The sequence below is a fragment of the Homo sapiens genome, chromosome 5 (genome assembly GCF_000001405.40).
Source record: "Homo sapiens chromosome 5, GRCh38.p14 Primary Assembly".
Taxonomy (NCBI): domain Eukaryota; kingdom Metazoa; phylum Chordata; class Mammalia; order Primates; family Hominidae; genus Homo; species Homo sapiens.
This window is the reverse complement of record NC_000005.10, coordinates 65,228,820-65,245,138: the sequence shown is the minus strand read 5'-3', so window position 1 is coordinate 65,245,138 and position 16,319 is coordinate 65,228,820. Positions and strand designations below refer to the sequence as shown.

General features: G+C 34.0%; 1 protein-coding gene across 15 annotated transcripts in view; it reads left to right on the top strand.

Annotated features, from left to right (window-relative positions):
* Positions 1-16,319, top strand: part of ADAMTS6 (ADAM metallopeptidase with thrombospondin type 1 motif 6) — a 333,183-nt gene that overhangs the window by 236,782 nt on the left and 80,082 nt on the right. For 13 of the 15 annotated variants that reach the window (NR_135689.2, XR_007058575.1, XM_011543117.3 and 10 more), the window contains one exon: positions 2,933-3,035. The exons of 1 other annotated variant lie outside the window; for it this stretch is intronic. Coding sequence is in view for 11 of the 14 variants with exons in the window: in XM_011543117.3 (XP_011541419.1) it covers positions 2,933-3,035 (103 nt within the window). In the remaining 3 variants the exon portion in view is untranslated. Of the gene's footprint in view, positions 1-2,932; positions 3,036-16,319 lie in introns of those variants that run through there. One more of the 15 variants, XR_007058576.1, reaches the window with a different exon arrangement.

The following is a 16,319-nucleotide window of genomic DNA, read 5'->3' as shown; positions in this document are numbered from 1 at the left end:
TACCTTAGGCCAGGTACAGAGCTAAACAGTTTGTGTGAATATGTTGCCTAGGAAGTAAATACGAGTATTACCCCCAGTTTATAGATGAGGCTTAGACAAGTAAATTTCTCAAGGCCGTGAATTAAATTAATGACCAAATTAGACATAATCCAGGTCTGCCTTACTCCGAAACTCTTGCTTTTATCCCTCTCATTTTACAAGTGAGAAAAAACGTAATTTGGAAAGATAAGAAAGTTGCATCTGGTTAATGACAGGGCCAAGTCTAGAACCCAAATTGTTCCTATTAGGTTTTTGTACATTTTAAGGAAGCTAAAACCTGTAATGCTATTATTGTAGCATTTGGAGAGTGTCCAGAGGAGACTCCCACACTTATCGTGAAAGTATCCTTGTACGCTGAAACTATTACTAAGCAACCTTTCTGTACCCCAGTTTACTTCATTGTAAAATGAGATTATTAATTATATCTACCTCAAAAGAGTGTTGAGAAGGAGTATATAGATAATATATCTAAAGATCCCGGAACAGTGTGCCACATAATAAGTACTTAGTAAATACTAGCTCGCTATTGTTATTGTTAATCTTTTTATTATGCTCACCCTGAGAGTGGTTATCACAGGAAAAAAGTGGATCAAAAATGTCATGAAATGTTATCAAGTGCTTCATTAAATAGTAATATCCCCATATTGGACATTTTATTTTTCTTCCATTTAGGAGAATTGTTAGAAGATACTGAAAAATTGCATTTTTGTTTCGTTTGCCTTTAAGCGAACGGCCTTCATGATGTCTTAGTTTTTTAATTCAAGGTCTTTTTAATGTACCAGTGCTTATGCATGTGAAATATCATTTCCTCTTATGCTTCTATATAGTTCATCTCTTTCATCTAGCTTGGCCTTTTTCCAACCATTCCCAATATGTGAACTTTTCCTTCCTATTCCCATGGCTTTTCTTGGCTTCATTCTTAATAGTCTCCCACTCCCTGACGAGTCCTTTTTCTTTCTTAACTAGAACAATTTCTATAATACTTTGGTACCTGCTGAAGATGTTTTTCTTAACTGATATATCCCTAGCTAATCATAGGACACATTTATATTTCACTTGTATCCAGCACATATAGACAATCTGTAACATGCTGTCATATGCTATATATATTGCTTGAGATGGTTCTTTTTTCATGGTCGTTTTTCCATTTGTGTCTTGTTTTTCCAACAAAGTTGAAAGCCATGCTTGGATGAACTTTAGGTGACTGGTGCTTTATAAATACTTAAGTGCTGTGTGAAAACTTATAGCTAGAGTTCAAATTATTTGTTTGTTTTTTTTGTTTGTTTTTGAAATCGTTATTTGCTTTTAAAAGTAGTCTGCTGCATGACAAAAGTCACTAACAACTTTAGTCCTTGTGTGGGATTCACTAAAAATAGCTTGAAAAGTCAAGGATTCCTTTAACCTAGAGCACTCTGAAGATCCAAAGATTAGCAGACCAGGAAAAAAAAGACCCTGAAAACATATCCTTCCAGCCTGATACACCTACTAGCCTATGGTAAATATTTTTCATTTTTTTTAAAGGCAAGCAAGAAGGTAATTTAACAAGATTAATCACTAGATTTGGCATTGGAATGTCATATTTTAATGTGCTAAAAACATTTTAAAATGCAGGGCTCATAACAGAGTGTGAACCTGCTGCCACTATTTTCAGAATCTGAGGCTTTGGACTTGATGTGGTGAAAATTGAACCGTATTATATACGAAGTAATGATGACCATGCAAATATTTGCACATTGTGGTCTATTGTTACTGCATATTCTTCAAAGTGACCATTTACAATGTACTGTCCTCAGAAAACTATATAAAGCAAACACAGAGATCTAAGGGAGGGTAGTAAAAAGCCTCAAAACAATCTCTGAGTGTGCCTGTAACATACTTGTTATTTATTCCCAATTCAGAATTTTCTCTAGTGACATATTCTTTTTTTCCATATTTTAGGAGAATATTTTCTGTCAGTCTTTCAAAATCAATATTTTTAGTTTTTAAGTACTACAGCTGTTGAACTTCACAAGATAAGTCAAATTAAGTCACATCACTCAAACACTATGAGCTTTATAATTCTTTGTGAACTTAAAGGTTGAGTTTAGGATGACCCTGTGGTATATAGAATCTAGAGCTAGCTGGATTGGCAGGATTTTTCTCTTTAAAAAACTTCAGAAGCATTTCTGAATAGAAGGAACATTTCCAACTTTTAAAAACAGATAATCCTTTTTTCACCCTCTTAACATCCCTCTCCACACCTCAAACAAATGTACATGTTTTGGGCCATTTTGTATTTTATTTTCTGTGATGTTAATAAATTAAATGTAAATCATAATAAGTCCAAATCCCTTTAATTTCAAGATGTTTATACTTGAGGTCTAGCATTTTGCCTACTTTATTCCTCATTTAAAGTATGGTTTTTGTCAAGGCTAAACAGTAAATAGCTATAGTAGTAGGAGTCCAAACCACAATTAATAGTGCTGAATGTTGTTACAAACCTGCTTCTTGATTTTTTAAAATAAAGATCAGGGAGTAGCTATGGCAACTGGACCTCAAAAACTGTTAACACAAAGGATTTTGTGTTTTAATTTCTTCATCTAGGTTTTATGTGTCTTTATAAGGAGATACCTGATGGACTACAAAGAGGATTATGACATGTATCCAACTGTAAATTTATAGGGAAATTGTGTAACGCTTTGTTTAAATTACTTCAGTTATATCTTCTATAGTTAAGATTATAATTCACACACTTCAATCTGAATACGGATTGTAAAACAGTAAAGCAAATGCCAGAATTATAGCCACAGAATAAGGTAGTGAGTTAATTTGATGGAGTTCATTTTAGGGACATTGTCCCTTGCTTTTGGTATTTTCCAACAATGGTACCATTTATGATTTTATTTTATTTTAGCCATGCCCTTTGGGTTCCCGAGATTTTCGAGAGAAACAGTGTGCAGACTTTGACAATATGCCTTTCCGAGGAAAGTATTATAACTGGAAACCCTATACTGGAGGTAATGTATAACCTGACAGAGCATTCATGCTTGAGCACTTTGCAAATATCAAAGAATATACAAATATATACAAACACATGCATACATTCATGTACATACTAGTTAAAATTAGTGTTTGCCAACAAAAGCAGGGAAATGCTTATAGTACTATAAAGGCTTCATGGTTTATTTGCCCTGTAATAAGGTTTATATATTAGTACAAATGATCAGAAATCATTTCTTAAAACCTAATTATGTTTAACAAGGTATAAAATTCCTTGAAAGGATATCTAGACATCAAAACCATGTAGTATTTTTTGAGTTCTGCTTGAGGCTTCCTTAGGGTATATGTAAGTTACATTATAATCTTTAAATGTTTGCAATTATCACCCTAAAACAAGTTATAAGAATATAAATCAGGAAACTCTGTGTCGTTGCTTAGTCAAAGGCCAAGATTATTGTTATTCTTTTTCAGAGTTAGAAAACATTTTTGCTCTTTAATTTGGGCATGTATCAGGCACTGATTGTTCAATAAGTAGAAGTATTTTACACTCCCAAAATATAAATTACATTTTGCTGAAAATTTCTCTTGGAGGCCAGGCATAGTGGCTTATTCCTGTAATCCCAGCACTTTGGGAGGCCGAGGCAGGTGGATCACCTGAGGTCAGGAGTTCGAGACTAGCCTGGCCAGCATGGCAAAACACCGTCTCTACTAAAAATACAAAAATTAGCCGGGCATGGTGGCATGTGCCTGTAGTCCCAGCTACTTGGGAGACTAAGGCAGGAGAATCACTTGAACCCAGGAGGCGGAGGTTGCAGAGAGCCAAGATCACGCCACTGCACTCCAACCTAGGCGACAGAGTGAGACTCCATCTCAAAAAAAAAAAAAAAAAAAAAGGAAATATACTCTTAAGATAAGTTTACTGTTTGCTTGCTTTTCCAGTATCTTATATTAACAGAATTTTATAGTGACAACTTTATATTTACCACCAAGATTCTACCATTAACGTTTTACTATACTTTCTTCATACATGTCTGTTCTTCTCCCTATCCATTTATTAATCCATCGTACTTTTTGATGTATTTCAAAGTAAATTGCAGTCATTAATGTACTTTCCTCTAAGTACTTCAGCATGGTAACATTATCCACAGTTCAATTATTTGTTTACTTTTTTCTGTTAAGGCAAGATTATGTACAGTGACATGCAAAATTTTAACTATGCTTTCTCTGGTTTTTGACCAATGCACATACTTAAAAAATCCTATTGAGATACAGAACATTGGCTTTACCTCCAAAATTCCTCTAATCTTTGCCTTAGTCAGTTTGGACTGTAATTACAAGTTACCATAGACTGGAGATCTTAAAATAGAAATTTATTTCTCGGTACTGGGGGCTGGAAATCCAAGATCAAAGTGTCAGCATGGTTAGAGTCTGGTGAGGGCCCTCTTCTGGGTTGTGAACTGTTGTTTTCTCATTGTATCCTCATGTGGCAGAAAGCGTGGGGAAAAGAGCTCTCTGGGATCCTTCTTATAAGGCTACTATTCCCATTCGGAGGGCTCCACTGTCATGACCTAGTTACCTTCCAAAGGCCTCATCTTCAAATTGGGGATTAAGATTTCAACATACGGGTTTTGGGGGGACACAAACATTCAGTCCATAAAAGTCATTATAGTCCTTTGCAGTCAATAGTTGCCTCTCCCTACTCCTCCTAAGAGACAACCATCATTCTGACTTTTTTTCTCACCATAGTTTAGTTTTGCCTGTTCCAGAACTTCATATTCTATTGTAAATCTTCTTTAAGCCTAATGTTTTTGAGATCTATCTACATTGCTGTATATAGAAGTGGTTCACTCTAGCCAAGCGCAGTAGCAGACACCTGTAAGCCCAGCTACTTGGGAGGCTGAGGCGGGAGAATCACTTGGGTCTAGGAGTTCTCTTAAAAAAAAAAAAGTTTATTCTTTTTTATTGCTGAGCAGTATTCCATCATAATAACCAGTTTTTCCATTCTGCTGTGATGGACACCTGGGTTGTTTCTAGTTTTTAGCTGTTATGAGTAAACTGCTATGAACATTTGTGTACTATCATTTTGTGAGCATATGTTTTCATTTTCCTTGAGTAAATACTTAGGAGTAGAATTGCTGGGCAATAGATTACATGTGAATTTAGTTTAGTTTTAAAAGAAACTGCCAGATGTTTTTCCAAAGTGATTGTAGCGTATTTCACTCTCACCGACAATGTCTGAGGGTTCTATTTGTTGTGCATCCTTGTCAATATTTGGTCTTTTCAGTCTTCTTCTGGTGGGAGTAGAGTGGTATTTCAGTGAAATTTCCGTTTCCATTTTCTCATGATAATGTTAAGCACGTTTTCATATATTTATTGGCCATTATATATCTCCTTTTGTACTGTCTATTCAAATCTTTTGCCTATTTTTAATTGGGTTGTTTTACCTTCTCAAGTGGTAGTCATTTATAAGTTTTACAAATGTTTTGTCACATTCTGTGGCTTTCCCATTGCTTTTTAAATGGTGTTTTTATCCATATAAGCTTTTAATTTTTCTGTTTTTAATTCCAATTTTTAAATAATTTTTCTTTCTGGTCATTGTGTTTTGTGTCCTAAGGAATCTTTGCCTACCTCAACTTAAGAAAATATTTTCATATGTTTTCTTCCAAAAGTCTTATTGTTTAGTCCTTACATTTACATCTATGATCTATCTCAAAATAATTTTTGGTATGATTTGTATCTGTAGTATATTTATGGATTTTCTGTTTTGTTTTGTTGATCTGTCAGTCCTGTGCCAGTACTACACTGACTTGATTACTATAACTAGAGTATAGTCATGAACACAGTTTTTTTTTTTTTTATACATTAAGTTCTAGGGTGCATGTGCACAATGTACAGGTTTGTTACATATGTATACGTGTGCCATGTTGGTGTGCTGCACCCATTGACTCGCCATTTACATTAGGTATATCTCCTAATGCTATCTCTCCCCCCTCCCCCTACCCCACAACAGTCTCCGGTGTGTGATGTTCCCCTCCCTGTGTCCAAGTGTTCTCATTGTTCAATTCCCACCTATGAGTGAGAATATGCGGGAACACAGGTAGTTTAAGTTCCATTAACTTTGATGTTTTTTATAAGAGTTCTTCCAATATGCTAACTGATTTGCATTTTCATGTAAATTTTTGCATCAGTTGTTAATGTCCGCAGAAAAACCTGCTGGACTTATGAATGGTGTTATGTTGAATCTATAGATCAATTGAGGGAAAAACTGAGTATTAAACCCTATTGAATTTTACAATTTTTGAACATGGTATATCCCTCAATTTATTTATGTCTTTAATTTCTCCCAGCTATGTTTTTCCTTTAAGTGTAAGGTCCTGCATGTACTTTACTAAATCGATTCCTGAGTGATTTATGGTTTTGACACTATTGTTAATAAAACTTTTGAAAATTCCATTGACATTTGTATATTAACTTTGTATTCTGTGACCTTTCTAAATTCCCATATTCCTTTTTTTTTTTTTGAGACAGGGTCTGGTTCTGTTGTCCAGGCTGGAGAGCAGTGGCGCAATCTCGGCTCACTGAAACCTCCACCTCCTGGGCTCAAGCGATCCTTCCACCTCAGCCTCCTGAGTAGCTGAGACTACAGGCGCACACTGTCATGTCCAGCTAGTTGTATTTTTTGTAGACACAGGGTTTCACCATGTTGCCCAGGTTGGTCTCCAACTCCTGGACTCAAGTGATCCACATGACTCGACCTCCCAAAGTGTTGGAATTACACATCCAGCCTAAATTCCCATATTCTAATTGTTTTACAGATGCTCAGAATTTTTTTGTTAAACAGTCATGTTGTCCTGAAATAGAGACAATCTATTTGAATCTTTATGCCTTTTATTACATTTTCTTGCCTTAATGCACTGGATTGGGCCTAGAGTATAATTTGTACATGTATTGATTGTATTTTTTATTCTTTATCCTATTAATATGCTGAGTGACCTGATAGATTTGACAATCTCAAACCAAGATTTTTTTTTTTTTGAGAGAGAGTCTTGCTCTGTTGCCAAGGCTGGAGTGCAGTGGTGTGATCACAGCACACTGCAGCCTCAACCTCCTGGGCTCAAGCATCCTCCCACCTCAGCCTCCTGAGTAGCTGGGACTGCAGGTGTGTGCCACCATGCCTGGCTAATTTTTGTATTTTTTGTAGAGATGGGGTTTTGTCATGTTGCCCAGGCTGGTCTCCAATGCCTGGGGTCAAGCAATCCACCCATCTCAGCCTCCCAAAGTGCTGGGATTACAGGCGTGAGCCAACAGGCCCAACCTCAAACCAAGCTTATATTTCTAGGATAAACCCCATGTGATCATGATGTATTTTTTTATGTGTTATTGTATTTAACTTAATTGATAATGTTTTATTGTGGATATTTGCATCTGTGTTTAAATTTGTAAATATTTTTCTTGTAATTTGTAAATATTCTTCTTATGATGTCTTTGCTAAGTTTTGGTATCAGATGCATTCTGGTTTCCCAAAATAGAATCTTTATTTATTTTTAAAAGAATTTTAGGATTGGTGTTATCTCTTCCTTAGAATAGATTTCACTAGTAAAACCAGCCAGGCTTGATATTTTCTTTGTGAAAACCTGTTATTAAAAATTTAACTCCCTTAAGAGAAAAGGGCTATATGGTTGTTTTATTTTATTTTATTTTCTTGTGGAGTTTTCTTTTTTTTTTTTTTTTTTGAGACAAGGTCTCCCTCTGTCGCCCAGGCTGCACTGCAGTGGCCCAATCATATCTCACTGCAGGCTCAATCTCCTGAGCTCAAGAGATCCTCCCTCCTCAGCCTCCTGAGTAGCTAGGCACCACGCTGGGCAAATTAATTTTTAATTTTTATTTTTATTAGAGACTACATCTTCCTATGTTGTCTAGGCTGTTCTCAAACTCCTAAGCTCAAGGGATTCTTCAATCTCAGCCTGCCAAAGTACTGGGATTATAGGTGTGAGCCACCATGCCTGGCCTTATTTCAGTTTTTTATTTTGTGTCTTTAAGAAATTTATGTTATATCCATGTGGTCCAGTTTATTGACATAAAATTGATCATAACATTCTCTTGTTATGCCGTTTAATATTAATATTTATAAAATATGTAGTGATGTATGCTTTCATTTCTGGTATTGATAATTTGTGTTTTCACTGTTTTTCTTGGTCAGTCTTGTTTGGGATTTATCAATTTTATTAATATTTTCAAAGAACCAAATTTTGGCTTTGGTACTCTTTTCTGTAATTTGTCTTTTTTCTAGCTTATTAATTTTTGCTCTTATAGTTATTATTTTCTTATCTATTTTCAGTTTCTTTCGCTCTTTTACATTTCCAAAATTTGATGTTATATTTTATAGCTTTTAGTTCAAACTATTTTATTTACATTGTGAGTTCTTTGACCTCTGGGTTACTTAGAACTGTTTTGTTTTAATTTCCAAATATTTGAAATTTTCTAGAATTTCTTGTTGTTCATATATAATTTAATTGCATTAAGATTAGAGAATGGGCCAGGTGTGGTGGCTCATGCCTGTAATCTCAGCACTTTGGGAGGCCAAGTTGGGAGGATTTCCTGAGCCCAGGAGTTGGAGACCACCCTGGGCAACATAGTGAGACCTTGTCTATACGAAAAATAAAAAATTAGCTGGGTGTGGTACCACATGCCTGTAGTCTCAGCTACTCAGGAGGTTGAGGTGGGAGGATCACTTGAGCTCGAGAAGTGGAGGCTACAGTGAGCTATGATCACACCACTGTAGAGTGAGATCCTGTCTTAGAAAAAAAGAAAGAAAAAGATTAGAGAATACTCTTTTCTTGGTGAATGTTCTGTGTATACTTGGAAAGTAATGTTTTCTGCAGTTATTGGCTACATAGTGTTCTATAGATATCTATGAGATCAACTTGGTTGAGAATGTTGTTTTCAATCTTTTATATTCTTTCTGATTTTTTTCTACTCTCATTCTATCAATTATTGAGAGTGCTGTGTTAAAATCTCCAACTATTATATGGCTTTGCTTTCATTTTTAAAAAGATTTTGCTTCATGTATTTGAATCTTTTTTATTAGGTGCATATACCTTTGGGATTGTTTTGCCATAGTATAGGAGAAGAAGAAGTGTCTGAAATAATTTACAGACTTAATAATTGCCATCTACATAATTTCATGCAAAGTGAATTAATCCTAAATTCATACTAAGCATTAACTTAAGGTAATTGGTTAATATGACCTTTCATTTAGAAAATCATTTTAAATTCTTTCTGGAATTAACAACTGTATTAGTCAGGGTTCTCTAGAGGGACAGAACTGATGGAATATATATAAAGGGAAGTTTATTAAGTATTAGTTCACACGATCACAAGGTCCCACAATAGGCCATCTACAGGCTGAGGAGCAAGGAGAGCCAGTCTGAGTTTCAAAATTGAAGAATTTGGAGTCAAATGTTCGAGGGCAGGAAGCATCCAGCATGGGAGAAAGATAGTCTGGGAGGCTAGGCCAGTCTCTCTTTTCACATTTTTCTGCCTGCTTATATTCTAGCCTAGCTAGCAGCTGATTAGATTGTGCCCAACCAGATTAAGGGTGGGTCTGCCTTTCCCAGGCCACTGACTCAAATGTTAATCTCCTTTAGCAATACCCTCACAGACACGCCCAGGATCTACACTTTGTATCCTTCAATCCAATCAAGTTGACACTCTGTATTAACCATCACAACAGCCTTACCTTTCTTTCCCCAGTTTCACTGAGATATAATTGACAAATAAAAATTGTATATAGTTAAGGTGTACAATGTAATGTTTTGATATACATATATGCTGTGAAATGATTACCATAATCAAGCTAATTAATGTATCCGTCACCTCACATATTTACCTTTTTTGTGTGTATGATGTGAATACCTAAGATCTACTCTCTTAACAAATTTAAAGTATACTATACATTATTCTTAACTATACTATATTAGATCTCTAGAACTGATCCCTCTTATAACTGAAAGCTTGTACCCTTTGAGCAACATCTCCCTATTTCCACCCAATCCCTGATAAGCTCTCTCTGTTTCTATGAGTTTGACTTTTTTAGATTCCACATATAAGTGAGATCATACAGTATTTGTATCTGGCTTATTTCACTTAGCATTATGTGCCCCAGGATTTCTTTATTTCTTTCTTATTTAAGATGGAATGATATTTCATTACATATGTCTATATAAAACAATTTTCTTATCCATTCATCTGTTGACAGACACTTGGGTTGTTTCCATATCTTGACTAATGTGAATAATGCTTCAATGAACATGGGAGTGTAGGTATCTCTTCAAGATAGTGATTTCATGTCCTTTGGATATATACCCAGAAGTGGGATTGCTGGATCATATGGTTATTCTATTTTTAATTTTTGGAGAAGGCTGCATACTGTTTTCCATAATGGCACTGCCAGTTTACATTCCCACCAATAATGTATATAAGAGTTTTCTTTTCTCCACATCCTTACCTACACTTGTGATCTTGTGACTTTTTTGTAATAGCCATCCTAACATGTGTGAGGTAATATCTCATGGTGGTTTTTATTTGCATTTCCCTGATGATTAGTGATTTTGCACACCTTTTCATGTACCTGTTGCCATTTGTATCTCTTCTTTGGGAAAAAAAAAAGTCTATTCACATTATTTGCCTATTTTTTAATTAGATTTTTTTTTTTTTTACTATTGAGTTGTATGAGTTCCTTATATGTTTTGGGTATTTTCTCCTATTCTGTGGATTGCCTTTTCATTTTGTTGATTGTTTCCTTTGCTGTCCAGAAACTTTTTAGTTTGACATAGTCTCGCTTGTTTATTTTGGCATTTTTTGTCTGTGCTTTTGGTGTCATATCCAAAAAATCGTTGCCAAGACCATTGTGCTGGAGCTTTGCCCTTATGTTTTCTTCTAGTAGTCTTACGTTTAATTCTTTAATCCCATTTCAGTTGATTTTTGTGTATGGTATAAGTATCCAATTTCTTTTTCTTTCTTTATTCTTTTTTTTTTTTTTTGCACGTGACCATCTATTTTCCCCAGCATCACTTATTGAAGAGACTGCCCTCTCCTCACTCTATTTTCTTGGTACCTTTGTCAAAGATTAGTTGACTATATATGCATGGGCTTATTTTCAGGCTTAATATTTGTCCCATTGCTCTACTTATCTGTTTTAATAAAGTACTATACTGTTCTGATTGCTACAGGTTAGTAATATAGTTCAAAATCAGGAAGTGTGATGCCTCTAGTTTTGTTGTTCTTGCTCAAGATTGCTGTGGCTATCTGGAGTCCTTTTTAGTTTCATATGAATTTTAGGATTGCTTTTTCTATTTTTGTGAAAAACGTCATTGGAATTTTCATAGAGATTGCATCAAATCCATGGATCACTTTGGGAAGTATGGACATTTTGACAATATTGATCTTTCCAATCCATGAACACGTGACATCTTTCCATTATTTGTGTCTTCTTCAATTTTTTTCATCAGTGTTATACCTAAGTATTTTTAGGCTATTGTAAATAAGATTGTTTTCTTAATTTCTATCTTATGTAATTAATTGTTAGTGTATAGAAATGGACTGATTTTTGTATGTTGATTTTTGTATCCGTATTTACTGAATTTTTGTATTAGTTTTAACAGTTTTTTGGTGGAGCCTTTAGGGTTTTCTATGTATAAGAATATGTTGTCAGCAAACAGAGACAATTTTTCTTCTTCCATTCCATCTTGCATGCCTTTTATTTCTTTTTCTTGCTTACTTCCTGTGACTAGGACTTCAGTACTATGTTGAATAGAAGTAGTGAGAATGGGCATCGTTACCTTGTTCCTGATCTTAGAGGAAAAAATGTCAGCCTTTCATCACTGAGTATGATGTTAGCTGTGGGCTTGTTGTATGGGACATTTATTGTGTTGAGGTATATTCTTTCTGTACTTAATTTTTATAATGAAAACATGTTGAATTTTGTCAGATGCTGTTTTTGCATCTATTGCAATGATCATTTGGATTTTGTCCTTCATTTTGTTAATATGGTGTATTACAGTGCCTGATTTGTGTATGTTGAACCATCCTTGCATCCTCAGGATAAACCCTACTTGATCATGATGAATGATCCTTTTAATTTTTGCCATTTAATTAATTTGCTAGTATTTTGTTGAAAACTTTTGCATCCATGTTCATCAGGGATATTGGCTTATAATTTTCTTTTCTGTTAGTATCTTTGTCTGGCTTGTTATTAGGGTAATGCTGCCCTCATAAAATGTATTTGGAGTATTCCCTTCTCTGCAATGTTTTTGAAAAAGTGTGAGAAAAATTGGTATTAATTCTTCTTTAAATGTTTGGTATAATTCACTGGTGAAGTATAAGGTATCGCACTTTTATTTGATGAGAGGTTTTTTTTTTTTTTACTGTTTCAACCTCTCTTCTTATTATTGTTCTGTTCAGATTTTCTATTTGTTCATGATTCAGTCTTTGTTTTATGTCTCTAGAACTTTATTCATTTCTTCTAGTTTATCTAACTTGTTGACATATAAGTGTTCATAGCAGTCTCATGGTCCTTTGCATTTCTGTGGTGTCTGTTGTAATGTCTCCTCTTCCATTTCTGATTTTTATTTGAGGCTTTTCTCTTTCTCTCCTAGTATAGCTAAAGGTATGTCAATTTTGTTTATCTTAAAAAAAATCAACTCAATTTTGTTTATCTTTTCAATTTATTTTATTTTCTCTATCTATTTCTGCCCTGAGCTTTGTTATTTCCTTCCTTCTTCTAACTTTGGGGTTAGGTTGTTCTTCCTTTTCTAGTTCCTTGAGATGTAAAGTTAAGTTGTTTGAAATCTTTCTCCTTTTTTCATGTTAGACATTTATTGCTATAATCCTTTTTCCTTGAAGTGCATCTCCAGCATCTCATAAGTTTTGGAATGCTGTGTTTCTATTTTTATTTGTCATAAGGTTTCTTGTTGGTTTGTTTTGTTGTTGTTGTTTGTTTGTTTGTTTTTCAGACAGAATCTCATTTAGTCATCCAGGCTGGAGGGCAGTGGTGCAATCTTGGCTGACTGCAACCTCCACTTCCCAGGGTCAAGTGATTCTCCTGCCTCAGCCTCCCGAGTAGCTGGGATTACAGACATGTACCACCATGACCAGCTAACTTTTTGTAGTTTTAGTAGAGACTAGGTTTCAACATGTTGGCCTGGCTGGTCTCGAACTCCTGACCTCAAGTGATCCACCTACCTCAGCCTCCCAAAGTGGTGAGATTACAGGTGTGAGCCACTGCACCTGGCCACAGGTCATAAGATACTTTTAGATTTAATTTTTTATTTCTTCTTTGGCCCATTGATGGTTCAGGAGCATGTTCTTTAATTTCCACATATTTGTGAATTTTCCAGTTTTCTTTTTGTAACTGATTTGTAGTTTTATACCATTGTGGTCAGAAAAATACTTGATATGATTTCAATCTTAAATGTGTTAAGACTTGTTTTGTGGCCTAACATGTATGTATCTTGGAAAATTTTCTGTGTGGGCTTGAAAAGACAGTATGTTTTGATGCTTCTGGATGGAATTTTTTGTATGTCTATTTATTCTATTTGCTCTAAAGTATAATTCAAGTGCATCTTTTTCTTATTGGTACCCTGTCTGGATGATCTATCCATTGTTGAAAGTAGACTACTGAAGTATCTTCCTATTGAATTGCTTTCTATTTCTCTCATTGTATTTTAATATTGCTTTATATATTTAGGTATTCCAATGTTGGGTGCATATTTACAATGGTAAATTGTACTGAATTCATGAATTGACTCCTTTATCATTATATAATGACTTTCTTTGTCTCTTATTACAGTTTTTGACTAATAGCCTATTTTGTCTGATATAAGTATAGCTCTCCCAGCTCTCTTTTGGTTTCTGTTTCCATGGAATATATTTTCCCATCACTTAACTTTTAGACTATGTGTGTTATTAAATCTGAAGTGAGTCACTTGTAGGCAATATAGAGTTGTCTTGTTTTTTTTTAAAAAAAATTCATTTTGTTTTTCATTGTAGAATTTAATCCATTTACATTTAAAGTAATTATTTTTCAATAATTACTTACTAGTTATATCTTGTCAATTGTTTTTGGCAGTTTTGTAGACTTTTTTTGTTCCTTTATTTTTCTTTGCTGTCTTCCTTTGTAATTTGATGATTTTCTGTAGTAGTATGCTTTGATTTCATATATATATGTATTTTATATATATTTCATATATATGTATTATATATATTTCATATATATGTATTATATATATATTTATACATATGTATTATATATATATTTCATACATATGTGTTATATATATATTTCATACATATGTGTTATATATATATTTCATACATATGTGTTATATATATATTTCATACATATGTGTTATATATATTTCATACATATGTGTTATATATATTTCATACATATGTGTTATATATATTTCATACATATGTGTTATATATATTTCATACATATGTGTTATATATATTTCATATATATCATGTATTATATATTTCATATATATCATGTATTATATATATTTCATATATATCATGTATTATATATATTTCATATATATCATGTATTATATATATTTCATATATATCATGTATTATATATATTTCATATATATCATGTATTATATATATTTCATATATATCATGTATTATATATATTTCATATATATCATGTATTATATATATTTCATATATATCATGTATTATATATATTTCATATATAATGTATTATATATATTTCATATATATAATGTATTATATATATTTCATATATATATATATATATATATATGCTTTAGGTATTTTGCTTTGTGATTACCATGAGGCTTATATAAAAATCTATAGTTATAATAGTCTGTTTTAAGCTATTAGCAACTTACCTTCAATCATATACAAAAATTTGACACTTTTACTCTTCTATTTTATATTTTTCATGTTACAGTCTACATCTTTTTATATCGTAGTCCATTCACAAATTAGTGTAGCTATCAGCCTCTTCTGGCCAGCAGGGATTCTGCTGAGAAATCTGCTGATAGACCTATGGAGTTCCCTTGTATGTTATGAATCTTTTTTCTCTTGCCTTCAAAATTCTTTGTCCTTGATTTTTGACAGTTTAATTATAATGTGTGTGTGAAGTCTTCATTGGGTTCAGCCTTATTAGAGATCTTTGAGCTTCATGTATTTGAATGTCCATATTGCTCTCTAGATTTGGGAATTTTTCAGCCATTATTTCTTTAAATAAGCCTATTCCACTTTCTTTTCCACCTAAGATTCCTATAATGTGAAAATGTAGTTATCTTGGTGATGTCCCATAAATCCTTTTTGTTCTTTTTTGCCTGACTGGAGATTTTTAAATGACCCCTCTTCAAGTTCATAAATTCTTTCTTCTGCTGGATCAAGTCTACTGTTGATGCTATTACATTTTTCATTTTATTCATTGTTTTCTTTACCTCCAGAATCTGTTTTTATTAATGATTTCTATCTATTGAACTTCTCACTTTGTTCATGTATTGTTTTTCTGATTTCATTAAGTTGTCTGTGTTCTCTTATAGCTCCCTCACCTTCCTTAAAACAATTATTTTGGATTCTTTTTCATGCCATTCATAGAGCTCCATGTCTTTGGGGTTGGTTATTGGAATATTACCATGTTTCTTTGGTGGTATCATGTTTTCTTGATTTTTCTTCTGGTTTCTTGAAGTACTGTGTTGCTGTCTTTGCATGTGGAGAACGCAGTCTTTACTAACTGGCTTCCAGAGAAAAATGTCTTTACCAAACAGCCCAGTTAAAGATTCTGAGGCTCTCTCAGACCTTTTCTATGGATGTCCCTACTCCACACCTCTTATTCTCTCTTGGGGAGGAATTCTTAAGAATGTATCCCTCTCTGAATTCCACAAAGCTGGACCAGGTGCTGAGAGCTGCCTGTTTGTTTTTTCTAGGGTGGTTCCCTAAATGCTCAAGTTGTATGACTTCTCCCAATCCTGCAAAGTTGTGTTGGCTGTCTGCATAAAATGCTTACTTTCAGTCCATAGGAGCATGCTTGGGCTGCTGGCCTACAGCAGTTGGGGGAGAATGGGGCATGCAGAGTTTTTGAGGCAACTGTTGACTAGTTATGAGGTGGCCCATAGGCAAAACATCTCAAATGGCTCATGAGTTGGCTTCCCAACAGAGTCCATGGAGTGGTTACTTGGGCCTATGGCCTCTCTTCTCTGCTCCCAGCCTCTTCCAACCACTCAGCCATGCTGATCACCTCAGTATTCTGG